The 27911-nt window shown below is 39.3% G+C and overlaps 1 long non-coding RNA gene and 1 pseudogene across 1 annotated transcript in view; one reads left to right on the forward strand and one right to left on the reverse strand.

Annotated features, from left to right (window-relative positions):
• The window catches only part of KBTBD6-DT (KBTBD6 divergent transcript), a 103759-nt gene that overhangs the window by 10435 nt on the left and 65413 nt on the right, over positions 1-27911 (forward strand). Inside the window, exons 2-3 of the long non-coding RNA NR_120423.1 lie at positions 3065-3145; positions 18901-19041. This is a non-coding gene — a long non-coding RNA (KBTBD6 divergent transcript). The remainder of the gene's footprint in view (positions 1-3064; positions 3146-18900; positions 19042-27911) is intronic.
• On the reverse strand, positions 27226-27862 carry CALM2P3 (calmodulin 2 pseudogene 3; annotated as a pseudogene).

Consider the following 27911-nt stretch of genomic DNA (forward strand, 5'->3'; position numbering starts at 1 on the left):
GTTTCATGGATTTAAGGCTGTCATTTAGAAGTTCACTGATGGCTGCTTCTGTCTGCTGATTGAAGAAGTCTCTGAACTAGCAGATCCTTGTGGCTTCTCACCACAAAAAAAAAATTCCTGACAAAAGAGCTATTAAAAAAACAAGTGTATATTTATTTCATTTGTTTAACTGCTACTACTTAATAGCCACAAAGGATTAATAATAATGTGGGTTTTTAATATAATGAACACAACTGATAATTTGGGAAGGATTCTCTGTTTGTAGAGCCTCTTTATACAAAATAAAAAGGTCAAAAACAACAAATGAAATCATACCCTTTCTTAAATTGTTTAAATTAGCAGTCTGTTTTTTAAATCAGTTTTTTGTAGTTTGATTACCCAAACCTGGTGGAATTCCAACTTGACTATAAACCCAAAGCAGAAATGATAGTTCCTATAATACACAGTACACAGGAGGGGCTCAAAAAACCTGACTAAACAGTAAACCTCCCAACTATTAATACCAGATCCTTCATATATCACTCAGTATTATGTATTTAATTATAGTGTGACCAATCTATCATATGAATACATTGTATATATAATAAATAATATTGTGCAATAGAATATTATATAGTATTATACAATATAATATAAATCATAAATTTATATAATTATATGTATTATATAATATATAATATAAATAGAATAGAATGATATAAAAACATTGATATACAATGTATTGCTATATTGATGTACTATATATTTATTATTATATATAATTACATATATAGTCAGTATATTGTTTATGCCGACACTTGACTTTTTTTTTTTTTGAGGCGGAGATTTGCTCTTGTTGCCCAGGCTGGAGTGCAGTGGCACAATCTTGGCTCACTGTAACCTCTGCCTCCCGGGTTCAAGTGATTCTTCTGCCTCAGCCTCCCAAGTAGCTGGGGATTACAGGTGCGAGCCACCATGCCCAGCACATTTTTGTATTTTTAGTAAAGATGGGGTTTCACCATGTTGGCCAGGCTGGTCTTGAACTCCTGATCTCAGGTGATCTGCCCACCTCAGCCTCCCAAAGTGCTGGGATTACAGGTGTGAGCCATCACACCTGGCCAGTACTTTTACTGGTAGTATCACCCCAGCTTTTTGTGTCTTCCAGGAGTAGCACACACAGAGTACAGATAACCTCCCTGGGATCATGACTTTACATAAAAGAGACCTTCATCTATTGCTTGGTGTCAACAGAACACTAGAGGAGGACTGGATCATTTCTATGTGGTTGAAAAATTGCAGTCTGTCTCTAAGAACTTGTCCAACAAAACACTCTTCTCTGCCAAAGTTACTCCTGCCTGGTACCTTTTTCACAAGTGGATCTAGCTTCATTTTCGTTTGGTGAGGCAATGGAGTTTGATGGACAGCTGGTTGTAATCCAGTGCACAGGTCATGCGCAATGAATTGAGAAATGCTTTTTTAAAAAACTAGTTTTATCTATCTACAGAGACCAGAGACCAACAGAGAATGAGTAGCAGCTGTTGAAGGTATCTGGGCTAGTTAGTTCCAGTTTTCAGCTATTATTTTAAAATTGCAGGCTGGGTGCAGTGGCTCACACCTGTAATCCTTTGGGAGGCCAAGACCTGTGGATCACTTGAGTCCAGGAGTTCAAGACCAGCCTGGACAACATGGTGACACCCATCTCTACTGAAAATACAAAAATTAGCTGTGTGTGGTGGCACATGTCTGTAGTCCCAGCTACTTGGGAGGCTGAGGCACAAGAATTGCTTGAACCCAGGAGGTGGAGGTTGCAGTGAGCTGAGATCACACCACTGCATTCCAGCCTGACTCTGTCTCAAAAAGTTGTTATGAAATAACATTCATGTACAAATTTTTAATGTGAACTTAAGTTTTTATTTCTCTGGGATAAATAACCAAGAGTAGTACATCTGCTGGGTTATATGGTAATTACATGTTTAGTTTTGTAATAAAATTCCAAACATTTTTTCAGAGTGGCTACATCATTTTACATTCCACCAGCATCGTATAAGTAATGCAGTTTCTGCACGTCTTTGCCAAAATTTGATGTTGTCACTTTTGAAATTTTAGCCATTCAGATAGATGTATAGTGATATCTATTTGCATTCCCCTGCTGGCTAATGATGTTGAAGATATTTTCATCTGTATATCACCTCTGGTGAAATGTCTCTTCATATGTTTTGCCCATTTCTAATTGTCATAGATGCAGGAGACAGATAAGGGAGGTCCTGGGAGACCCTCCCACTTGCCCCACAAGTGTTTACACCAGATGCTTTTGTGCAGATGAGAGAACCTGACTAGCGTTTTGTCTGGGCATGCCTGCAATGGTCTGTACTCGCCTGTGCACTGGGAAGATGGGGTGGAGCCATAGGAAGTTTGTGCCCTGTGCAGTGAGGAGGAACCTGGCCTCTTGAGCTCATATGTGGTGGCCTGGTATCCAATCTGTGAGGTGGCCTGGTATCCAGTCTGTGAGGTGGCCTGGTATCCAATCTGTGAGGTGGGAGCCTATTGACAAGACTTCCTCTCACTTTGCTGAGTATTTTTTTTTCTTTTTTCCTTTTCGCCCAATACTTTCTGCTCCCCTCACCTTTCAGTGTGTCCATGTGCTTAATCTTTCCTGTCATATGACAAGAACACAGTTTTAGCTGAACTAAGGAACAAAAATTCTGCATCAGTTGGATTGTTTGACTCGTTGAGTCTTGAGAGTTCTTTATATATTTTAGATATTAGTCCTTTGTCAGATATGTGATTTTAAAATATTTCCCCCATCTATAACTTGTCTTTTAATTCTCTTCACATGAGCTTTCACAGAGTAAAGTTTTAAATTTTGATAAGGTCAAATTTATCAATTTTTGCATTTTTGACATGTGTTTTCCATGTTAGGGCTAAGAATTATACCACTAGCCCTAGATGCTAAAGGTTTTTACCTATTTTTGCTAAAATCATTACAGTTTTACATTTTACATTTAAGTCTTTGATTATTTTCAAATTAATCCTTGCATAAGATGTGAAGATTAGATTGAGATCCATTTTTTTTTTCTCCTGATAGGTATCCAATTGCTCCAGCACCAACTGGTGAAAAGACCATCATTCTTCTACTCAGTTGCATTTGAAGCTTTGTCAAAAACCAGTTGAGTATATTGGTGTGGATGTGTTTCTATTCTGTGGATCTCTCTTCCGTTCCATTGATCTATGTGTCTGTTCCTTTGCCAGTACTACACTGGGTTGACTACCATAGCAATGAAATAAACCTTAAAATCAAACAGAGTAATTCTTCCCACTTTATTCTTCATTGTCAAGATTGTTTTAGCTATTTTAGTGCATGTGACTTTCCATACAAATTTTAGAATAAAGGTTGTTTATGTCTGCAAAAAATCTTGCTCACATTTTGATAGGCATTGCATTAAAACTATAGATTAACTTGGGGAGAATTAAAATCTTTAATACATTGTCTTCCAATCTATGAGCACAGCATGTCCTTCCATTTAATTTTGGTCTTCTTTAATTCATTTCATTACCATTTTGTACTTTTCAGCATAGTTAAAATATTTTATTAAGCTTATACTTAAGTATTTTATTTTGTTTGGAGCGATTGTAAATGGCTTTGAAGCCATCTTCACAGGATTACCAAGAATTCTTTTTTTTTTTTGAAATGGAGTCTTGTACTGTCACCCAGGCTGGAGTGCAGTGGTGCCATCTCGGCTCACTGCAACCTCCGCCTTCTGGGTTCAAGCTATTCTCCTGCCTCAGCCTCCTGAGTAGCTGAGGTTACAGGCGTGCACCACCACGCCCGGCTAATTTTTGTATTTTTAGTAGAGACGGGGTTTCACCATGTTGCCCAGGCTGGTCTCAAACTTCTGACCTTGTGATCCGCCCACCTCAGCCTCCAAAAGTGCTGGGATTACAGGCGTGAACCACTGCGCCTGTCCAGGATTACCAAGAATTCTGGACAGAAATATAGTTATAATTAAGCATTAATCACTCTGCACTTTGACCCACTTCCTTGTAACTGAAAGTCACTAGACACTGACCATTTGCATCCCCATTGTTCCTATAGATAGGATTTCTGACCCTAGAATCATAAAGCTTTTGTTTAAGGGTTGCTTAAGATGTTTTTCACATTCTAAACTCCAGCAAAACAGCTGATGCCAACCAGTTTGAAGACCCCCAGAAAGGAAACTAATCAGCATGAAAACACAGTTTCTTCATCTCTCTGTCCCATGACATCACCCTGCACTCTTCAATCTCTACACTTTATCCCACTCCAAAACCCTTAGGAACCCTATCCCCATATGCCCCAGAGAGACGGATTTGAGATTTCCTCTCATCTTCTCATTTGGCAGCCCTAGGATTAAACCTCTTTCTCAGAAGCCACCCGGTGTCTTTGTGTATTGACTTGCTGTGTGCATCTTGCAATATACCTATTAGGATAACAGTTTTGTGTTTTTTATTTTGATTCTGCCTGTCCATTGTTAGTAGATAGAAATGTGATTGATTTTTGTGTGTGACTTTGCTAAATTCATTTATTACTTCTAGGAAATTTTTAAAGATTCCTAGAGATTTTGTATGTAGATAATTATGTCATCTGGAAATAGTTTTATTTTCTGCACTTCAAACTTTATGCCTTATTTATTTTTCTTGATTTGTTACAGTAGTTAGAACTTCCAGTACTGTGTTGAGGCGAGACCCCATCTCTACAAAAAATAAAAATTAAAAAAACTAGCCAGGTGTTTTGATGCACCCCTGTGGTCTCAGCTACTTGAGAGGCTGAGACAGAAGGTTTGCTTGAGCCCAGGAGGTCATGAGGCAGGAAATTAAAGAAAGAAAAATAAAATTAAAAAGAGAAAAACAAGCTTTCTATATTAGGCTGACTCATCCTAAAGGCAGTAACAGGCAAAGCCTGGACCCAGGTGAAGTCTCAATAACATTATCTAAGAAGCCAGAGCTCAAAAGAATGTGATCTGGAGACTCTCTCAGCACTCTCTCAACATAAGGATAAGGAAAATACATTTTCCTCTCTCATTTAGTATAAGGAAACTTCCCCCTTGAATCCTAACCCCCTCCATGTGATTGTACCTTGCTCTGCAAGTTTTATAATGTTATAGATTCCTGTTTTCTGTAACTAATAACTTCAAGTGTTCTGTTTTTATCTGAGCAGCACATTGAAGGTTATAAGACATGCCTCAGCAGGCCTGGGCTGCAGCCATCTAGGCACCATAGTGAGAGTTATGAGATAAGCCCATGCAAGGCACTAGAGCAAGCCTAGATAACAGCCATCTGGGCCACGTAGCAAGAGTTGCATGTAATCCTGAGTTATGCACCTGTCACAATTTGATTAACTGCCTTTGTTCTGCCTCTGTATCCTTGCTTTCATGCCACTATGCTTCATGCCACTGTAAGCTTGTTTCAAGCTAGCCCACCCTCTTTTAGAAGTGTGTGTAAAAGTCAAGTGCTGTCTTTGTTCTGGGCCCGAATTTTGGATGTAAATCCACTGGGTCTGAGTGCACTAAAAAAAATCCTCCTGTTCCACCTATCGGTCTCTCCAGTCTCCTGATTCCCACAACAGTCAAGGCTACAGTGTGTGGTGTTTTCACCACTGCACTCCAGCCTGGGTAATAGAGTGAGACCCCATCTCAAAAAGAAAAAAGATGAAAGATAGTAAAGAGAACATCCCTGCCTTGTTCAGGATCATAGAGGAAAAGCATTTGGTCTTTTGTCATTGAGTCTAATGTTAGCTGTAGGATTTTGTTGTAGATGCTCTTTATCAAATTCATCTAGTTGAGATAATTCCCTTCTAATCCTAGTTTGCTAAACATTTTCTTCTTTTTCTTTTGCATTAAAAAAATTGAGTGTGGAGGGAAAAGCCACTTCATCTTGGATGCTTAATCTGCCTTGTTGACTTCTAATTAAACCCACTCCCTGGAATGCTGCCAAGATTTCTATTTTGTCTACTACTCCTTGTGTAACAGCATGTATTTATCATAAATCCTGCCATTAGATCAAAAGAATCTTGATATTATTGTACTTACCATAAGTCCTGCCCTTAAGCAATTGTCCTACACATCCCTTTTGAATCACATATACCCTTTGCCTATGATATATAACCTAGCAGTATGGGGGGTAATGGTTCAGGGCCCCACCATCTTGTTTTTCTGCTGCCTGAGGCACAGACATGACTTCTTTTCCTAAGTTCCTATTAAATGTTTCTTTCTGAGAAAATTGATATCTTAGCCTTTTTCTTCAGCCTCTCAGTGTCCTTAGACTATTGGGGGCAGGTTTATACAGACCTGCCCACCATGGAACATGTGGTGAGCCAGGCCAGAAGCTGAGAGATCAATAAATGGGAAAAGGGTATGTAGCATCCATGGGGGAACTCCCAGCATGGCCATCCATTCCATGTGGAGTGGTGTGGATCACCTTTTAGACATTTGTGGACCACTGCATGAGAATGAGGATGCCCTGAAAATGCTGGTGGGTTTAGAGCAATTGTTAACTGATAACCATCTACCATACTGCTGTAAGGAAGGGTGGTGAGTAGCCACTGTAGTAAGATGTCTGCTTCTACAGGCTGCCTGTTTGGTGATGGGAGCCCACCTAGCAGTGTTGCAGTCATTTCGTCTGAGGTACTACCCGGAGTTCTTTGTCTCATGACCAATAAAATTAAGGAGTGTGGACACCAATGATGAGGTTGGAGCAGAAGTTTAAAAAGCCAAAGAAGAAAGCTCTCCACAGTGGAGAGCGGGACCTGAGAGGGTTGCCAGCTATGAGACTGAGTCCCAGGTTTTTATGGACTGGAAGGGGAGGAATGTGCTGACTGATCTGTAGGCTGTCTTGGAGAACCAGTTGGAGGTAGAGGTGAAGGCTTGGCCCAGGACCAATCAGGGGCTGAAGTGATGATTCACCATATGTAAATGAAGACTTGGCCTGTGGCCAATCACAGAAAGGTAGGCATATGTAAAGTAGGTGAAAAGTCAGAGCCAAAAAACGAGTGGAATTTGTTCATCTTGTTTCAGAGTAGACATTTCCATTCAAGGATGTGGGGCCTGCAGTGATTTTCAGGCTGTTCTTTGAAGGAGTTTTACCAAGGAGCCACCCTAACTGTCTGCCTGACCAGTTTCTTCCTTCCTCCTCTCTCAGCAGCAGAAGCAAAATAAAACAGCTTGAGGAGGAATTACCATTAGGAGAGATATATTTTTTAAAAGACCTCTATAGTCAAAAGTCAAAGACTCTATAGTCAAATTGGTTAAACCTGATATTTGGGCAATGTGTGTATGCATATGTATTGTTTTAAGGCTTCTGCTCTCACTTTGTAAAACAACTCAGTTGACTGATTTCTCGGTGTTTGTCCATTTACTTCGGTCTGTCCCTCCTTCTTGCCATCCTTTATGCCACATGAGTAGATCTTAAAAGGATTTCTAACAATCTGGGATCACTTAAGGAAAACAGAAAAGGTATCAAAGACTTCTTTTTGGGGTTGAACCTCTGTTTTTTTCTTATGGAACCCCGAGAATTGTAAGCAGACAGATTCCTCTCAGGTATAAAACCCTGTTCTCTTTTGTATTGCATTACTTGATCTCTTTGGATTTTGAGGATACAAGAAATTACTTTGTAAGTTTGAGGACTTGATCTTGCCAAGTGTAATGACTGGTGAGTCACAGGTGAGAGTTACAGCGTTAGAGGTAGCTGAGAGACAGTTCCTTATAGTAACTGGTTATTACTACAGGGGCCTACTCATTTCTTTGGGCATTTGAGAAAAGCAAGGTTTAGGCCCTAAAAACTGCATGCTTTCTTTGCCCTATTCATTAAAGGGCTCCAACCTCAAGTCAGTAATCTAGTTAAGAAACAAGCTAAGTTGAAAAGACACTTTCCCTCAAAATCTTGTCTTCAGATAATGGTGTTTAAGTCTAAGTTCTGGGTCTTTGATATGTAAATTTTCTACCTTGTTTCACCTGAGTCATGTCTTCAAGAATGACTGATAGTCTAAAAGTGGGAAAGAAACGATTTGAAAATTGATGAGTGAAGAATCTTATAAATCTATAAGATCTGCCTGTGTGTGTCTTTATGTCTATATGTATGTATCACTTGTATGAGATATTACACTACCAAAATATATGAAAGTGCTTTAATCAATTGGCTTATAGAAAAGTAAGTGCTTAAATAAAATACTTTGTCAGAAAAATAAAAGCCAGCTCATGTTGGGGCTCAGAAACAAATACCCAAAATATGGTGCATTGCCATGCTGAACTGAAGAAGCCTTGATCAAGGCCTCTCTGACCTCCCCACCACCCAAGGTCTCTCTCAAAGAAGCTGAAGTTCCTTTATCTGCCTAAAGTCCAGACCCAGCAGAGAAAAAAATTGTTTTTTCTTTACATGGACATAAAGCATGATGGTAAAAAAAATTTTTTTTCATCCCTCCCTGTAAGACAAAGAATGCAACCACACCTGAACAGATCTTTCCACTGTCAAAAAGAACTATTTACAAGTAAATCATTCTCCCTAGTAATCCTCTCAACAGCATTTGTTTTCTCTCCCCTTCCATAACTTGTTTTTGCCAGGATGGTATGTAAGCTTGTAAAACTCACTGGGGAGTTGGGCCTTCATTCTGAAGGATCCTGTGTATACATGTTAAATAAATGTATATGCCTTTTCTCCCATTCATATACCTCATGTCAGTGATTTTTCGATGAACCTCCAAAGGGCCAAATGGCGTTGGCCACTAGACTCAAATGACTTTTAGTTCACATGACTTTAGTAATCATTGATAAATAAAACTAGTTTTGTTACCATTTAACCAGGTTCTTATCCACTGCCCAGATAGAGCCAAACACTGAGACAGCAGGTGTGGTAGTAAAGAAAGACTTTAATTATCACAAGGGAACTGCGGAAGGAGAATGGGAGATTTCTCAAAGCTGCCTCCCTGAGAATTCAGAGGCTAGGGTTTTAAGGATAATTTGGTGGGAAGAAGGTTAAGGGATGGGTGTTGCTAATTTGGTCTGGGATGAAACCATAGGGGTGTCAGAGCTGTCTTCATGTGCTAAATCAGTTATTGGGCCATGGAGAAGTCATAATACAAGTCAAGTCAGTTCCTTAGTTACCCTCATGGGCCACAGGTACAGTTGGCATCAGTTGGTCCAGGCTGTTAGAGGCAAAGTCTGAAAAATATCTCAAAGACCAGTCTTAGGTTTCACAATAGTGTTTGTGACTGCTGGTTACTATGGAAAAGCAAGCTGGGAAACAATGGTGGGTTATTATATAACCATGACTATAGCTTAGTAGAAAAGTTTGCATGAGGTGAAATCCCTGGTGGTCAAAGCTGCTCAGCCTTCTCTCTGGTCAGTCCAACTTCTGGAAGCCATAGGGAGGATCTGCATAATCTAAGGATCATTAGTCTTTAAAGAAAAAACTTCATTAATCTTGTGGGCAGCCTGCCTGGGGTAAGACAAGGAGGTAATAAATTATTAGTGTCTATTGAAGTGACTATATGCAAGCAATCATGCATGGAGGAGGAAGAGATCTGAGAGAAAGATAAATATCTTAAGAAAATTCATCCCCCTACCATAATTTTAATCTTGTGACCTTTTAAAATTTCATAAAAGTGGTTTCAATTTCAAAATTCTCTTCAGTAATTTAAAATCTTGAAGTCATATTATGTTAAATTAAGTAATCCTAGGTTTTTCACTGAAATTAGGGTTACTAAGAGTTAGAATAGTTGTTAATATATGTAATATTAAAAACTACTATTAGCTGGGTATGGTGGCTTATGCCTGTAGTTCCAGCTACTCAAGAGGCTGAGGTGGAAGGATTGCTTAAGTCTGGGAGATTGAGGTTGCAGTGAGCCATGATTGCACCACTGCACTCCAGTCTGGGTGACAGAGTGAGACCCTGTTTTAAAAATATAAATGAAAATAAAAAATAATAAAACTACTAGATCCAAGAAAAATAATTCTATATACAGAGTGTATAAAAAATATGTGGTTTTGGTCAGGAAGTTTATTTTAAAAAGACGTGAAGATACAGTTTTGGTAAAGGAGAACTAATTTTGTCTAGAGGTTAAATGTTTCAAAATGAAGGAAATAAATGATGTAGATAAAAGTTAATGCATAAAAAGGAAAAGGATAAACAGGTGAGGAATGAGGAACCTTTGATTCCCGGGTGCCCATGTGATCACCCACGGCATAGAGCTGCTGCACTGCATTCAGTTACTAAATGTAAAAGTTACCAGTGGAATTTACAGATGAATTCAACTCCTAGAGAGTTGGGCCAATGGATACATAAGGAAATGCACACTAATAACCAAAATGTGAAATATTAAATCCCTTGGTTATTGTAAACCAAAAAGTGTCTGAGAAAGACCTCAATCAATTTAGAACTTTATTTTGCAAATGTTGAGGACACACAAGGGAAAAAAAAGACACAAGTCACAGTAGGATCTGTGGCCTGTGCTTTTTCCAAAGTCTTGAGCACTTCAATATTTAAAGGAAAAAGAGCAAGCAGCAGAGGAAGGAGGGGAAAAGTGGGGAAGGGTGAACAAGGTGAGTGGTTTGTGTCCTGTTACAAGAGAAAACAGATTCTCATTGAATTTATGCAAATAACTGCACTGCCACAAATTAAGAATATTCACAGGTAGCTTCCAAATTTTTTTAGAAATCAGGGAGAGAGAAAGAAATATGCTTCAAATTTTGCTTATAAGACTGTACTTTACTCAATTGTTAAAAGCTGTAAATAGCTCAAAAGAAAAAAAGTTTTCTTGATTCTGATAAAAAAAAAATCAGCAATGTTTCAAACAAAAAAATCATTGAAAAATTATTTCAGCCTTCCATTAGTTCAGTCCATGCAGTTAACCCCTGTCCTGCTTGGTACTGAGTCAGCAATCCTTGTGAACATATTAGCTCTTTTTAATGAGAGTCCTGGAAGTTTTTTATTCTTTAGTACAATGACACAGTCTCCAAGGTTATCTGAAACCTCCATTTAAGAGCACCCATCAGAGTCCTTTCCATGAATTCCCTTAAAGAAGCAAGTTTTATGACCTTTTTTTTTTTTTTTTTTTTCCCTAAAACAGAGTCTCGCTGTGTCACCCAGGCTGGAGTGCAGTGGCACAATCTTGACTCATGGCAACTTCTGTCACTTGGGTTCAAATGATTCTGGTGCCTCAGCCTCCCGAGTGTCTGGGACTACAGGTGCACGCCGCTGTGCCTAATTTTTGTATTTTCAGTAGAGACAGGGTTTGCCGTGTTTGCCAGGCTGGTCTCTAACTCCTGGCCTCAAGTGATCCACCTGCCTTGGCCTCCCAAAGTGCTAGGATTATAGGCATGAGTCACTACACCAGGCCAAGAAGCAAATTTTAGATTGTTGCTTTTTAGAAACCACTTTTTGAGAAGAATCAAGGTAAAACAAATAATTGTGGATGACAAAAGTCTTAGAACAGCCATGGTTAAAGATACAACTGACCAAGATATTTGGTTAGTTCTGTGGCATAAAACAATTACACATAATGATTATTATTATTATTGATAATATGTACTAAAACATATCAGAATTATAGGAATCTCATACACTTTTGGAACATTTACTAATAACACATTTATATAAACATAACCCAAAGAAAATTAAACACCACTTTATATTTGACAATGGTTCTTGTATGATTGAGCATATCAAATAAGCCAGATATGTCTCTTTTGGACTGCAGGGGACCTAATGTCTAAAAAGATAATGAGGTTTAATGACTGAATTTGAAACTTGATTTTGGAAAGTTTGTCAAATATCAAAGGTTTAAAACACATAATGTCAGGGCTGGGTGTGGTGGCTCACGCCTGTAATCCCAGCACTTTGGGAGGTCGAGGCAGGTGGATCACAAGGTCAGGAGTTCGAGACCAGCCTGGCCAATATGGTGAAACCCCATCTCTACTAAAAATACAAAAAAATTAGCCAGGCGTGGTGGCACATGCCTGTAATCCCAGCTACTCAGGAGGCTGAGGCAGGAGAATTGCTTGAATCTCGGAGGTGGAGGTTGCAGTAAGCCGAGATCGTGCCACTGCACTGCAGCCTGGGTGACAGAGCAAGACTCCATCTCAAAAAAACCAAAAAAAACAAAAAAAACACATGATGTCACAAATCCGGTTGTCAGGTTACTATAAAATAAGTCATTCATTTAGCCAAAATGATAATTCAAAGATTTTTAAAAAGCAAAAACCTTTACTCTTTGATAGAGAGGAGACTCAGTTTCTCAAACAATAAGACCTAGTAAAGTCAGCATAAGGCCAACTGAATCTAGCTCTCCTCTCCCTCTCTTTTTTCTTTTGCAGTTAATTCAAAAGGCAAACAAAAATATTTTACTGTATCTTTTTTTTTTTTCTTTTTTTTGAGACGGAGTTTTGCTCTTGTTGCCCAGGCTGGAGTACAATGGCATGATCTCGGCTCACCGCAACCTCCACCTCCTAGGTTCAAACTATTCTCCTGCCTCAGCTCCCGAGTAGCTGGGATTACAGGCATGTGCCACCACATCCGGCTAACTTTGTATTTTTAGTAGAGACGGGGTTTCTTCACGTTGGTCAGGCTGGTCTCGAACTCCCGACCTCAGGTGATCCGCCTGTGCCGGCCTTCCAAAGTGCTGGGATTACAGGTGTAAGCCACTGCTCCCAGCCCATTATATCTTAATATTACATGAAAATCTTATTCAAAAGAGAAAACCAAATTTTACCTTTGCATTCGATATTATTAATGCAAAAGCTACTTTTAATAAAATCTTATAAACAAATTCCTCCTTAGAACTTCTAGACAGAAATTATGTTCCCTTAAAAAAATCCACATTCCCATGCCTTCTTATAAACCATATTTTTAACTGAAACACATTCTGCTTTTAAAATACACTTTGTATGTATCTAGTAGTTTTAATTAAATACATTAATTATAATGTTACCTCTTAGTAACTCTTATTTTTGGTGAAAAACCTAGGAGGTTCATAAGTTTATAGACAAGTAGAAGCAAAGTTTTATGTCTTTAAGCATTTAGCACAGTGTTTAACCTGCCTAACTAGTTTAGATCGAAAGTCTAAATTAAATTCTGGAGATGTTTTTATCAATAACTTAAAAACTAGTTTTATTTACCAAATATTGCTAAAGTTACATGAACTAAAAGGCATTTGAGTTAAAGTTTCTATTTTTCTGATGAAAAATTTTATTTAAGCACTTACTTTTTTCTTTAGGCCAATTAATTAGAGCTCGGTTATATATTTTGGTAGTGAAACATCACATACACATGACTTGTGTAAACACATAGACATGCAGGCATAGACAGAAGCAGATCTTATAGATTTATATGATTGTTCATTTGTCAGCTTTCAAAATATCTCTCCCCCACGTTAGATTATCAATTCTCTTGATAATCTGTTTCATTGCCCTGGGCAATTGTCAGCTGGACAGCTCAAAATTTGCATTTCTAAACAGACAACTCTTAGGCGAAGCAAAATAGACAATTTGCATTTTCAAAGCACAGAGCTAACACAGTAGGCCTAAATATTGTACCATCATTTGCTCAAGCCAAGGGAAAAACAATGGTGTAAGTAAATTTTAGTTAAGATGGCCAGGAAAAGTACTTTAAACAAAGGTATGACTTGTGAATTTAAAGCAATGGGAAGAGTTTCTAATGTACATAGGGAGATACCATTACAAATACAAATTTCCTTGAAGATGTAAATTTACTTTATGAAAGAGTTTTCAGATAGCCACCTACATGCCTGAAAGTTGTATTTTGGCTTTTTAAACTTAACTTGTTCTCAATTAGATTATTGGCTTTAGGGTGGAGCCCTTTAATGAATATGAGAAGGAAAATAAGCAGTTTTTATGGCCTGATATTTACATACGTGTGAAGCAAGCATAGCTGGAAGGCAGAACAGATCCTCCAAAACCAAGGATAACATTTTTACACTCCATCTGTGGTTCCCAAAGAGAGGGGAACACCATGAGACAAGATAGTTCAAAGCTTTTACAGTGTTCCTCGCTGCAAGGATATTCTGTTCTCCCAAGGATGGTGGGCGACCCAATGCCAATCAGCCGATTCTGTGATCATCTCATCCCCCACAGGAGACTTGTCTCTCAGTCAGGAGTGGGGATGTTTCCATAGCTTCTACATGCCCCAAAGCTCACTTTTCTCATACACATGCACAAGGAAATGAGTAAAACAATGTGGTCATAACTACTCACTGTAAGCCTCTGCCATCAGCCATTTCTAAAAGTGTATTTCTTATCTACCTATTGTATACACCAAAGTTATTTTCTCATGATGCAAAGTAATTTAAGTCCCCCCAAAAGTAAAACAAAATCAGGTAACACAATGCAAAAGAGAATAGAGTTTTATTAGATATGAGTTAATTGGTCTGCTTACAACTCCTGGGATGACATGAAGAAAAACAGATTTCTTTCAAACAGAGAAGTCTTTGGTGCCTTTTCTGTCTCCCCAGTGGATCCCAGGCTGTCAGAAATTCCTTTTTTTCTTCTTTTTTTTTTTTTTTTTTAGGTGCTTCGTATGGCATTGAGGGTGGCAAGAGAAAGGAGGGACAGGCAGAAGTAAACGGAGAAACAATTTAGCTGACAAAAAGTTTTTACAAAGAGAGAACAGAGGCTTAAAACTAGTGTGTGTGTGTGTGTGTGTGTGTGTGTGTGTGTGTGTGTGTATACATATATACCCTAGATATCAGTTTTAGTTAAGTCTACTTTTGACTATTGAGCTCTTTTTAAAAAAACAAAAAACAAACAAACAAAAAAACACAACTTTGAAACTCTTATCACCAGATTTTTGCCATAACAAACAGCTGGTATTTGAAAAGTCATACAAATATCAAACCAGAAAGGACTCATTCTCTGGCCGGAAAACAAACCCAGGTCACCAAGGTGAAAAGGGAAGAACCTTAGCTACTGAACTACATCATGGGGTGGTGTCCATTGTTTTTCCTAGAGGGAATCTAAAGCAATTTTGAGCTTTCAAAGATTTTAAGCTTTTTTTATGTTAGATTTTGCTCAACCGAATTCTCAAGACTAGCCATTACACTATTATGTGTCCTTTTTAAAATTTGGTTTTCCCTAGCAACTCAATCCAAAAATCTCTCTGTAAAGCCCAGGTCATAATTTTCTAGGTTTAGAAAAAGTTTTTACATTCCTGGAGAGGGCAGAAGGGAGGCAGTCCCCATGATCCCTAAAAATTCACTCTTAGAAATAGATTTAAGATAGCAAAAGATGACAAAAACCCCATAGGGATGAGATCTTTTAAGAAAAAACTTCCCTAAGAAGTTGACACATTTGGAACAAAAAGTGTACTGCTTAAAATATTAGATGTCTTGGATTCCCAGTCTTTGCAGACTGGCTTCCTGATGTGAACCTGAAAATTCCTGCCCTCCAGATAGTGGAGACTAAGAGAGTACTCCCACTTGGTAAGAAAGTCAAGCTTTCAAGGACATAAAACAAAATGAGAAGGAAACCTCATCCAATTTTATTTCAGGGGCCCACAGCAAAATTTGTCTTAACAGGTACTTGGTATAGTCCGAACTGCAGAACTGACCAGTCTGCAGGGCCAGCTTGAACAGTGAGCATATAGGGGTTCTAGGCCCATGTTCTATCCTATGATACTTGATACTTTTTTTTTAGGTGCTTCGTGTGGCATTGAGGGTTTTAGGGTTATTGAAGGGATATTTATTCTGACAGATTTGGGGGCCCACAAGGAATTTCCTTGAGAGAAATTTGTGAGGGAGGCTACCTGGAGAGAGATGTGGCCTTCTATCATTGCAGCTTTCTGTTTAGGAACAAAAGGAAGGCCATTTTTGCATGAATCTGTTCCCAAGCTTTATGTTTACCTTTGGCATTGTGATTTGGGGGACTTAAGATTTTATTTTCCTTTTAGTTATTGTTATCTATAAAAGCTAAAATGAAAGTAAAAGAGAGTGCCTGGTTGGGGCTTGAGCCTGGACCAACCTCAGATATGGGTCTGTCTGAGCTCAGATTCTTAGCCTCAAATCTACCCACAAGGGAGAAAAAGTATGCCAGCACAACAGAAAGTACCTTTGATACTTGTGGGTAGTCAATGTGGCAGAAGGGCAAAAGCAAGCAACAGTTGAAACCATAGGGTATAGTATGAAGGAATCATTCCATTTTGTACAACAGTATCAGCAGCTCCCTGAGGAACTTTTACCAAAATGGATTATGAGAGTAACTAATTTGGAAGCAGTGGCTTTGGTTTGAAATGCTGCACAGTGGAAAAACATGTTTGGGTGATGCAGGACCCACAGGTCACTATAGAACAATTGCAGATTCATATATATGATCCAGACACATAGGTTATTCCTGAGAGAAGAACTGGGCTGGTGGACTGGATAAAAGCCACTGTAAGATCTTTTTACCCCGAAAAGGGGGTCTGTTCAACTCCCCCTGTAAATACCAAGTTGGGTAATTCAGATGAAGCATGTGCAAGCCATGTGGGATTGGCTTTATGAGGACCAGTATATTCACCCACTGAATATGCCTGTTACCCAGGTTATGGTAAATGCTGTGGTTAAGGGGACCCCTTCTACACGGGTACTGTCAGGCCTCTGAGCCCAAGCCAAGCCATCGCATCCCCTGTGACTTGCATGTATACGCCCAGATGGCCTGAAGTAACTGAAGAATCACAAAAGAAGTGAATATGCCTTGCCCCACCTTAACTGATGACATTCCACCACAAAAGAAGTGTAAATGGCCGGTCCTTGCCTTAACTGATGACATTACCTTGTGAAAGTCCTTTTCCTGGCTCATCCTGGCTCAAAAAGCACCCCCACTGAGCACCTTGCGACCCCCACTCCTGCCCACTGAGCACCTTGCGAACCCCACTCCTACCCGCCAGACAACAAACCCCCTTTGACTGTAATTTTCCTTTACCTACCCAAATCCTATAAAACGGCCCCACCCTTATCTCCCTTCGATGACTCTCTTTTCGGACTCAGCCCGCCTGCACCCAGGTGAAATAAACAGCCATGTTGCTCACACAAAGCCTGTTTGGTGGTCTCTTCACACGGACACGCATGAAAGGTACCACATGTAATGACATCACTCCTGAAAAATGGAACAAGAGTCCTAGAAGCCTTATCAAACTTGTTGTCTCAGCTTTCCTTGATGGGTCTTACAGGTATTAATTTTAAAAGTTAGGTTAATTAACAAGAACATGGTGAAGGTTAGAGCAGAGAGTCAAAAGACTCCTCCCAGAAGGGTGTAAATTTTTAAATGTTTATTAAGAAATAAGATGAATAGTCTGGGCACAGTGGCTCACGCCTGTAATCCCAGCACTTTGGGAGGCTGAGGCAGGTGGATCACGAGGTCAGGAGTTAGAGACCAGCCTGGCCAACATGGCGAAACCATGTCTCTACAAAAATACAAAAATTAGCTGGGCGTGGTGACAGGCGCCTGTAATCCCAGCTACTCAGGAGGCTGAGGCAGGAGAATCGCTTGAACCCGGGCGGTGGAGGTTGCAGCGAGCCAAGATCACGTCATTGCACTCCAGCCTGGGTGACAAGAGCAAGACTCCATGTCAGAAAAAAAAAAAAAAAAAAGAATACAGAGAGCATTGATAAGGGTGAAACTAAAAGGAAAAAGAAAGGGGAGAGTCATGGGACTCATCCCAGCAGGGTAAACATGTTTAAATAGTTATTAAAAATGGGATAAATAAAACAAATTGATGGGGTTAAAACAAAGGTCTTAATACAACACTATCAAAGAGGGAGCCCTGCCTGTCTACAAACATTATAGAGCCCAAATCAGTTTTCTGTATTTGCCCCAGATTTGTGAAATTTAAGAAAAAAAATCAGAAGGTAAAGATTACAGTGAGAAAGCTGACCAAAAATTGGGGCAATGTTGAGGCAGTTAATCAAGATAAGGATTGACCAATGAGCCCAAGTGCCTTGGCTCAGCTCCCTGTTGGGAACTCAGATCCTTTTTCACAAGAAAGGGTAAAATGGTCTAGGGTGGAGAAAAAGTTTCCTGGGACTACAACATAAAATGTAAGGGTCAATAGGATTTTAAGAGTTAAAATGTTTGAACAGGCTTTATGTAAAGTAGCTGTGTCTCCTTTACCTAAATGTTTTCTGGGAATGGACATTGTATATGACTGGAGGATGATTCCCCTTCCTAGTACTGTGAACTAGAAAGCATGTAAATCTTCCCTTTGAGCAATACTAATTGGACATGCTCAGTGGGAACCAGTAAGACTGACCAAGCCCACAAAGTATAGAGTAGAAGCTGAAGTGCTGGTAGGGAACAAATTATCCACTGGATAGCTCCTTGTAGAATTTTTATTGGGGCTTATGGCAAAAGTCTATGAGCACCTTCACTAGAGAATTTTCATTTGGGGGTATTTGCTGCCTTGTAATTGGATGTTAGCTGAAGCTACTGCTATGATTGAAGGGCATAAAATGGCCTTGACACCTGAAATAGTAATGTCTGAATGTCAGAGAAACACTCTAATGAGGATAGCAGCACCCAAAAGGGTCCCACCAATAAAATGGGAATGATTTGTGTAGTATCCTGCTATTTGAAGGATGCAAGGAGGAGATAGGAGCAGGGAGTCTCTTTTTCCCTAGGAGTCACTCTGAAACTGTGTGAGGGGCTGCTGGATTCTACAGTGCCCAATAAACAGCTCTCACCTGACTGACAAAGAGCTGCTTGGTTTGTGGATGGCAGTTCCAAGGTGAAAGGACAATATCCTGTTTGGAAGGCTGCTACTCTAATTGTAAAGTATACTATTGTGAACAAAATTTACCTGTCTCTCTACCTGATATCTCCAAAACTGGAAACTATTCATATATTCGTATGACATGGGAATACAGTTATTTGCATAAGTTCAGTAAGAATCTGTTTTCTTTTGTAACAGGACACAATTGGAGACACAGGTTCTTCTATCAAGGCCTTGACTGGAATGGCATATTTTCAGATATGACCACATTGCTTTGAGGAAATGAGGCTGATGTTGCAGAGCTGATAAAACCCCCACAGAAAGGCCAGCCTACCTCTGGTAAGTAAAAAATGTCACTTTCTGGCAGGCCCAGGAACCTCAAGTTATTTTTGGGCCTCAAGAAGAGAGGAATACACCCATTCATACAGGTATGACAGGCACAATCGGATAGCGAATCCTTGACTTGGTTAGCCTCAGGGCTTATAGAAGTCTAATCTGAGATTCCTTATGAAAAGTGTCCCAGTGAAGCCATCTTAAAAGGAGCCAATATGGCCAATCCCTGCACTTTATGCAAATAGTCAGGTCAAGTTAATGAGACTAAATTTATTTCACAAGTAAATTGGCCCTACTTTGATTTATCCTTAGTAGAAATGGGAAAACTGTTGAGAAAAACTATGTTTCAGAAGAAAACTATAGTATGCTCATTATTAGACTGTAGCCTTAATGATTGTTTCTGAGTTTTATTATTTGCCTATAATTCAAACTGAATCCTGAATTATTTCCTGGCTACAAATTTCTAAAGAAAAACCGAGATTTAATTGTCTTCATGCCCTTTTTTATTATAATCCTTGTGTGCATTATATTTCTACTATTCAAATTATTAATGTTATATATCTCTACTTTTACTTCTTCCAAGAAAACCAAAGTCACGGTATTCCAATGACTAGAGATGACAAACCAAAGCCTGTGAATCTCCCTAATTTGGAATGCTACTGGGTCTGATCTGTTTTCCCTGCCAACCCACTGCTGCTAAAGTTGTGCAATGTCAAGCACTTTCCCTAAAGGCCCAGAAGAGGAGGGTGTGTGAGATTAAGAGGGATGGAGTGTGGGGGCTAAAGCAACTCCATCTTGGATGTTGATCTGCCATATTGAGTTCTGATTAACCCCATTTCCAAAAAGGCCTCTAAGGTTTTTTTTTAATTATTTATTTTGCTTACTGTTCCTTGTGTAAGATCATGTACTTACCTTAAGTCCTGCCCTTGAATAATTTTCCTACACATCACTTCTGTATCACATATACCCTTTCCCCATGGTATATAGGCCTTGGTTCTGGGTGTAATGGCGTGGGGATCCACCAACCTGTCTCCACACTACCTGAGACACAGACATGGTTTCTATTCATAAGTCACTATTAAATGTTTCTGTCAGGTGCAGTGGCTCACACCTATAATCCCAGCACTTTGGGAGGCAAAGTAGGAGGAACACTTGAGGCCAAGAGTTCAAGACCAGCCTGAGCAACATAGTGAGACCCCCCTCCTCCCTTTACAAAACACAAAAAAGTTAGCTGGGCATGGAGACACATGTCTCTAGTCCTAGCTACAGAGGCTGAGGCATGAGGATTGCTTGAGCCAGGAGTTCAAGGGTGCAGTGAGCTGTGATCATGCCACTGCACTTCAGCCTAGGTGACACAGTGAGAGCCTGTCTGGAAGGAAAGAGAGAGAGAAAGGAAAGAGAGAGAGGAAGGAAGGAGGGAAGGAAGGAGGGAAGGAAGGGAGGGAGGGAGGGAAAGAAAGAGGGAAAGAGAGAGAGAAAGAGAGAGAGAAGAGAAGACAAGACAAGAGAAGAGGCCGAGCATGGTGGCTCACGCCTGTAATCCCAGCACTTTGGGAGGCCGAGGCGGGCGGATCACGAGGTCAGGAGATCGAGACCATCCTGGCCAACATGGTGCAACCCTGTCTCTACAAAAAATACAAAAATTAGCGGGGCGTGGTGGCGCATGCCTGTAATCCCAGCTACTCAGGAGGCTGAGGCAGGAGAATTGCTTGAACTAGGGAATTGGAGGTTGCAGTGAGCTGAGATCATGCCACTGCACTCCAGCCTGGTGACAGAGTGAGACTCTGTCTCAAAAAACAAGAAAGAGAGAGAGAGAGAGAAGAAGGAGAAGGAGAAGGAGAAAAAGAAAAGGAAGGAAGGGAGGAAGGAAGGAAGGAAGGAAAGTTTCTTCCTGAGAAACTGGATATGTAAGCCTCTTTCTTTGAATTCTCCGCTTCCTTGGAATTTAGTGGTTGGTTTGCATAGGCTTGCTCACTGTGAAATTCCACTGTGTGGAATTGGTGATTGAGGTGAATTTCACATAATGTAAAATTAACAATTTTGAAGTGAACATTTTATTTGCCTTTGAGGTTAATCCTTGTTGTAGAGTGTATCAGTACTTCATTCCTTTTTATGGCTGAATAATATTCTATTGAATAAATATGCCACATTTTGGTTTTTTTCACTCATCAATTGATGGACACTTGGGATGTTTCCACCTCCTTTTGGCTATTGCAAATAGGGCTGCTATGAACATTAATTCGTGTACAAGTATTTGTTAAAATACCTGTTGCCAATTCTTTGGGATATATACTTAGAAGTGACATTGCTGGGTTATATGGTAATTCTATATGTAATTTACTGAGGAATTAACAAATTGTTTTCCTTAGAGGCTGAACCATTTTACGTTCCCACCAGGAATGTACAAAGGTTTGAATTTCTCGACATCTTCACCAACACTTGCTATTTCCCCATCTCATCCTTTTTAGTAGCCATAGTTGTATAATTATACCCATTTCTAGTGGGTATGAAGCTGTATTTCATTGTGGTTTTGATTTGCATTTCCCCAATGACTAATGATCTTGAGCATCTTTTCATGTACTTGTTGTCCATTTGTTTATCATCTTTGGAAAAATGTCTAAGTCCTTTGCCCATTTTTAAGTTGGGTTGTCTTTTTGTTGTTGAGTTGTAAGAATTCTTTACATATTCTGGATGTTAGACCCTTATGAGATATATAATTTGCAAATATGTTCTTCCATTCTGTTGTTGTCTTTTTACTTTCTTGAGAATATCCTTTGACAAACAGAAGTTTTTAATTTTGAGAAAGTCCAGTTTATTTTTTATTTTGTTGCTTGTGTTTTCAGTGTCACATCTAAGACTCCATGGCCAAATTCAAAGTTATGAAGATTTACCCCTAACTCTTCTGAGAGTTTATAGTTTTAGTTCTTATATTTAGGTCATTGGCCAATCATTGCAACTTAATTTTTGTATATGGTATGAGATGGGGGTCTAATTCCATTCTTTTGCATGTGCATATCCAGTTGTCCTGTACCTTTTATTGAAGAGACTGTTCTTTCTACCAGTTTTGTCCTTAGTTTACTCTTCTTTTTCCCCTGTTCTTTAAGGAATAGGGTTAGGTTATTGATTTGTGCTCTTTCTTCTTTTTTAATGTAGGCAGTTGCAACTATGATTTCCCTATGAGCACTACTTTTGCTGCATCCTGTAAGTTTTGGTAGGTTGTGTTTTGCATTTAATTTATATAGTACTTTCATATTTCCCTTGTTGATTTTTTTCTTTGATCCATTGGTTGTTTAAGAGTGTGTTGTTTAATTTCCATACATTTGTGAATTTTCCATTTTCCTTTGGTTATTGATTTCTAGCTTCCCTTCATCGTGGTCAGAGAAGATACTTTCTATGATTTAAGTATTTTAAATGTATTTATCGTTATTTTGTGGCCTAAAGTATGATCTATTCTGTAGAATGTTCCATGTATGAGAACAGTGAGGACTCTGCTCTGCTGGTAGAGTGTTCTATATGTGTCTAGTAGGTCTAGTTGATTTACAGTGTTCAAGTCCTCTACTTACTTATTCATGTGCTATTTAGATGTTCTGTTATTTTTATTTTTCTCTTTTTTTTGTTTTGTTCTATCTATTATTGAAAGTGGGTTATTAAAATCTCCAATAATTATTGTAGAACTAGTTCTCCTTTATTTCTGTTAACGTTTTCTTCACATATTATGGGGCTCTGCTGTTTGGTGAATATATATTTATAATTGTTACATCTTGGTAGTGAATTGACCCTTTTATGAATATATAATAATATCCCTCATTTTAAAGTCTATTTGGACTGATATTAGCATAGCCACCCCAGTTCTCCTTTTGTTACCATTTGTATGGAATATCTTTTTCCATTATTTTACTTTCAATATATTTTATTTCAATATATTTTACTTTCAACATATTTGTCTCTTTGAACTCAAAATGTATTTTTTGAATCCATTCTGCCAATCTCTGCCTTTTAATGGTGAGTTTAATTTTTTAACATTTAAAGTGATGACTGATAAGAAAGCAATTATTTCTATCATTTGCTATTGTTTTCTACAAGTTTCATATACTTTTTGCTCCCCAAATACTGTCTTTTGTGTTTGTGTCTTTCGTGTTTTTTAAAGTGTACCATTCTGATTCCTTCCTCAGTGTCTTTTCTGTATATATTTTAATTATTTTTTTGTGAGTACTCTGGTGATTACAAAAAACACCCTAAATATATAAAAATACAGTTTGAGTTGGTATCAACTAAGTTTTAGTAGCATACACAAAATCTATTCCTATACAGCTTTGTTATTGTCACAAATTGCATCTTTTATACATTGTGTACCCATTAGCATACTTTATAATTACTGTTTTCTACATTTGTCTCTCAAAGAACATAGGAAGCAATAGGGTACAGACTGGGCTCACAACTGCAATCCCAGTAATTTGGGAGGCCAAAGCAGGAGGATCACTTGAGGCCAGGAGTTCAAGTCCAGCCTGGGCAACATAGCAACACCCCCATTTCTACAAAAAAAAAAAAAAATTAGCAGAACATGGTTGTGTGTACCTGTAGTCCCAGCTACTTGGGAGGCTGAGGTCAGAGGATCACTTGAGCCCAGGGGTTTGAGGCTGCAGTGAGCTGTGATTGTGCTACTGCACTCTGGCCTGGCTGACAGATTGAGAACCTGTCTAAAAAAAAAAGAAGAAATTAGAAAATAAAGATATAGGAGGCCGGACTCAGTGGCTCACGCCTGTAATCCCAGCACTTTGAGAGGCCGAGGCGGGCAGATCATGAGGTCAGGAGTTTGAGACCAGCCTGGCCAACATGGTGAAACCCCATCTCTACTAAAAATAAAAAAATTAGATGGGTGTGGTGGCACGTGCCTGTAATCCCAGCTACTCGGGAGGCCGAGGCAGGAGAATTGCTGAAACCTGGCGGTCAGAGGCTGCAGAGAGCCGAGATTGGGCCACTGCAGGCATGAGCCACCATGCCCACCCCCCACCACACCCTTTTCTTTCTTTCTTTCTTTCTTTCTTTTTTTTTTTTTTTTGACAAAGTCTTGCTCTGTTTCCCAGGCTGGAGTGCAGTGGTGTGATCTCGGCTGACTGCAACCTCTGCCTCCTGGGTTCAAGCGATTCTTCTGCCTCAACCTCCCGAGTAGCTGGGACTACAGGCATACACCACCACACCCAGCTAATTTTTGTATTTTTAGTAGAGATGGGGTTTTACCATGTTGGCCAGGCTGGTCTCAAACTCCTGACCTCAAGTGATCCACCCGCCTCGGCCTCCCAAAGTTCTGGGATTACAGGCGTGAGCCACTGCACCCAGCCAGCACCCCGCCCTTTTTTAAAAACCATGAATGTGTGTTGGAATTTGTTACATGCTTTATCTGTGTCAATTGATATGATCATATGACTTTTTAGCTTGTTGATCTGGTGGATTACATAGATTTCTCAAATGTTGAACTAGCCTTGGATGCCTGGAATAAATCCCTATTGGTCAAGGCTATGAACTGCATGTTTGTGTCCCCTCAAAATTTATATGCGAAACTCTAACTCCCCGGTGTTAGGAGGTAGGACCTTTGGGAGGTCATGAGGGTGGAGCCCTCATGAATGGGAATAGTGCCCTTATAAGACAAAACATGAGAGAGTTTATATCTCTTTCAGCCATGAGAGGATACAGTGAGAAGAGGGTGATCTGTAAACCCAGAAGAGTGCCCTCCCCAGACACTGGAACTTCTAACACTTTGATCTTGAATTTCCCAACCTCCAGAACTATGAGAAATAAATGTTTGTTCTTTATGCCACCCAACATTTGATATTCTTGTACAGCAGCCTGAATTAAGATAGTCACAGTGCGTAATGTTTTGTTATTTTATTCAGTTTGCTAATATTTTGTGGAGGACCTTTGAATCTATGTTCATGAAAGCTATTGGTATGTAGTTTTTTGTTTTTTTGTTGTTGTTTTTATTTTTTTGTACTGGTTTTGATATTTGGGTGATACTAGCCTCACAGTGAGTTGGGGACTGTTCTTTCTTTCTGGAAAAGATTGTGAAAATGCATTGTTATCTCTTTGAATGTTTTGTAGAATTCTGCAGTGAAACCATCTGGGCCTGGGATTTTTTAGGAGATTTTTTAAAATAAATTCAGTTTCTTTAATGGTTAATATAGGGCTACCTAAATTATCTATTTCATCTTGGTTGTGTTTGGTAGTTTGTGGTTCCTCAAAAGGCTTCATTACTTCTAAGTTTTCAGTAAAAAAACTGTTTTAGAGTATAAAACTTTGTGTAATATTTTCTTATTATCTTAGTGGCTACAGGATATGAAGTGACATCCCCTGTTTTATTCCTCATATTGGTGATATCTGTTTTCTCTTAATTTTTGTGACTCTTGAAAGAAGTTTGTACATTTTATTGATTTAAAAAAGAAACAGGCCGGGTGCGGTGGCTCATGCCTGTAATTCCAGCACTTTGGGAGGCCGAGGCAGGCAGATAACGAGGTCAGGAGATCAAGACCATCCTGGCTAACACGGTGAAACCCCGTCTCTACTAAAAATACAAAAAATTAGCCAGGCATGGTGGCGGGCGCCTGTAGTCCCAGCTACTCGGGAGGCTGAGGCAGGAGAATGGTGTGACCCTGGGAGGCGGAGCTTGCAGTGAGCCAAGATCGTGCCACTCCATTCCAGTCTGGGCGACACAGTGAGACTCCGTCTCAAAAAAAAAAAAGAAAAGAAAAAAAAGAAAGAAATCGTCTTTTACTTCATTAAATTTTCTTCTCTGCTATTTCTTATTTCTAATTTTATTAATTATTGTTCTGATCTCTATATTATTTCCTTCCTTTTTTTTAAGAAAGAGAGACTCTCACTCTGTCACCCAGGCCGGAGTGCAGTGGTGCGATCATAGCTCACTGCAGTCTTGAACTCCTGGGCTCAAGCAGTTCTCCTATCTCAGAGTAGCTGGGACTACAGGACACACCACCATGCCTAATTTTTAAAATGTTTTGTAGAAATGAGGTCTCGCTATGCTGCCCAAGCTGGTCTTGAAATCCTGGCTCAAGTGATCCTCCCTGCCTTGGCTTTCCTAAGTGCTGGGATAATAGGTGTGAGCCACCAAGCCTGACCTCCTTCTTCTTGATTGCTTTGGGTTTATTTTCCTCTGCTTTCTCTAGTGCCTTATGGTAGGAGCTTAGATTGACTTGAGTCCTTTTCTCATGTTTAATGTAAACATTTAATGCTACAGTTTTGCTCTCAAAAATCCTTTAGCTGTATCCAACATGTTTTGGTATGTTGTATTTTCATATTCCTTAAGTTTCATTTTTAACTTGAGATTTTCCTCTTTGTCCCAGCAATGATTTAAAATTTATGTTGTTCAATTTCTCTGTGTTTAGAGAGTTTCCTGTTGTCTTCGTTATTGATTATCTGTTTGATTCCAATATTGTCAGGAAACATGCTACGTATACTTTCATTTATTTTGCATTTGTTGAAGTTGTTGTATGGCTCAGGACATGGTCTATCTTGATGAATCTTCCATGAACAATTGAAAAAAAAGTGTACTCTGCTTATTGGGTGGAGTGATGTGTCACTCCATGATTGGTTGATTATATTAGTCAGATCTTCTATATTCTCGCTAATTTACTGTCAGTAGCTTTGTCACTTGCTGAAAGATCATGTTGCATTTTCCAATAATAATTGTGGAGTTGTCTGTTTTTCCTTTTAAGTCTATCAGTTTTGCTTCATGTATTTTAAGACTGTTTTTTGGTTTATACACATTTGAGATCATTAAGTTTTCCTTGTCAATTGAATTTTTCATTAACATGTATTATCTCTCTCTGTCATCTCTACCCTAGTAGGTTTTTTTTTTTTGCTTTTATTTATTTATTTATCTATTTTTAAATTTTTTTTTGAGATGGAGTCTTGCTCTGTTTCCTAGGCTGGAGTGCAGTGGTGTGATCTCGGCTCATTGCAACCTCCGCCTCCTGGGTTCAAGCGATTCTCCTGTCTCAGCCTCCTGAGTAGCTGGGACTACAGGTGCCCACTACCATGCCCGGCTAGTTTTTGTATTTTTAGTAGAGATGGGCTTTCACCATATTGGCCAGGCTGGTCTCGAACTCCTGACCTCGTGATCCGCCCACCTCAGCCTCCCAAAGTGCTGGGATTACAGGCGTGAGCCACCGAGCCCCACCCCATGCATATTTTTTAGACAGTAGGGAGAAACCTTTTACAGATAAGTTACAAACAAAGAAAAGGCAAATAAACAATTTTGTACAAGAAATTTAACACATTCTGTACAAGTTGTTCACTTTGCTGTCATCATTTGTACAAACTCTTCATAGATCATTTGACCATCACCATCAATATGTGGTTACCTGATCATTTCATCAACCTCGTCATCTGTTAAATTCTCTCCAAGGTTTGTCATCACATGGTGAAGTTCTGTTGCACTAATATAGCCATTGCCATCCTTATCAAACACACAGAATGCATCTCTAATTTCTTCTTCACTGTCTGTGTCTTTCATTTTTCTTGCCATCATTGTTAGAAATTCAGGGAAGTCAACTGTGCCATTACCATCAGCATCTACTTCATTAATCATGTCCTGTAACTCTGCTTCTGTGGGATTCTGCCCAAGAGACCTCATTACAGTTCCTGATTCCTTGTTGTTATAGTTCCATCACCATCTTTGTTAAATAGTGAAAAAGCTTCTTTGAATTCTGCAGTCTGCCTTTCAGTCAGTTGGTCAGCCATGCTGCAAGCGCTACCAGTTTCTGAGATGTGACCACGCAGCCACTCAGCTTGCTCACTCGCTCGCTCCACTCGGACTAATTCCTATACATTATTTTTTTTGAGTCGGAGTTTTGCTCTTGTTGCAC

Source organism: Homo sapiens, chromosome 13 (genome assembly GCF_000001405.40).
Source record: "Homo sapiens chromosome 13, GRCh38.p14 Primary Assembly".
NCBI classification, from domain to species: domain Eukaryota; kingdom Metazoa; phylum Chordata; class Mammalia; order Primates; family Hominidae; genus Homo; species Homo sapiens.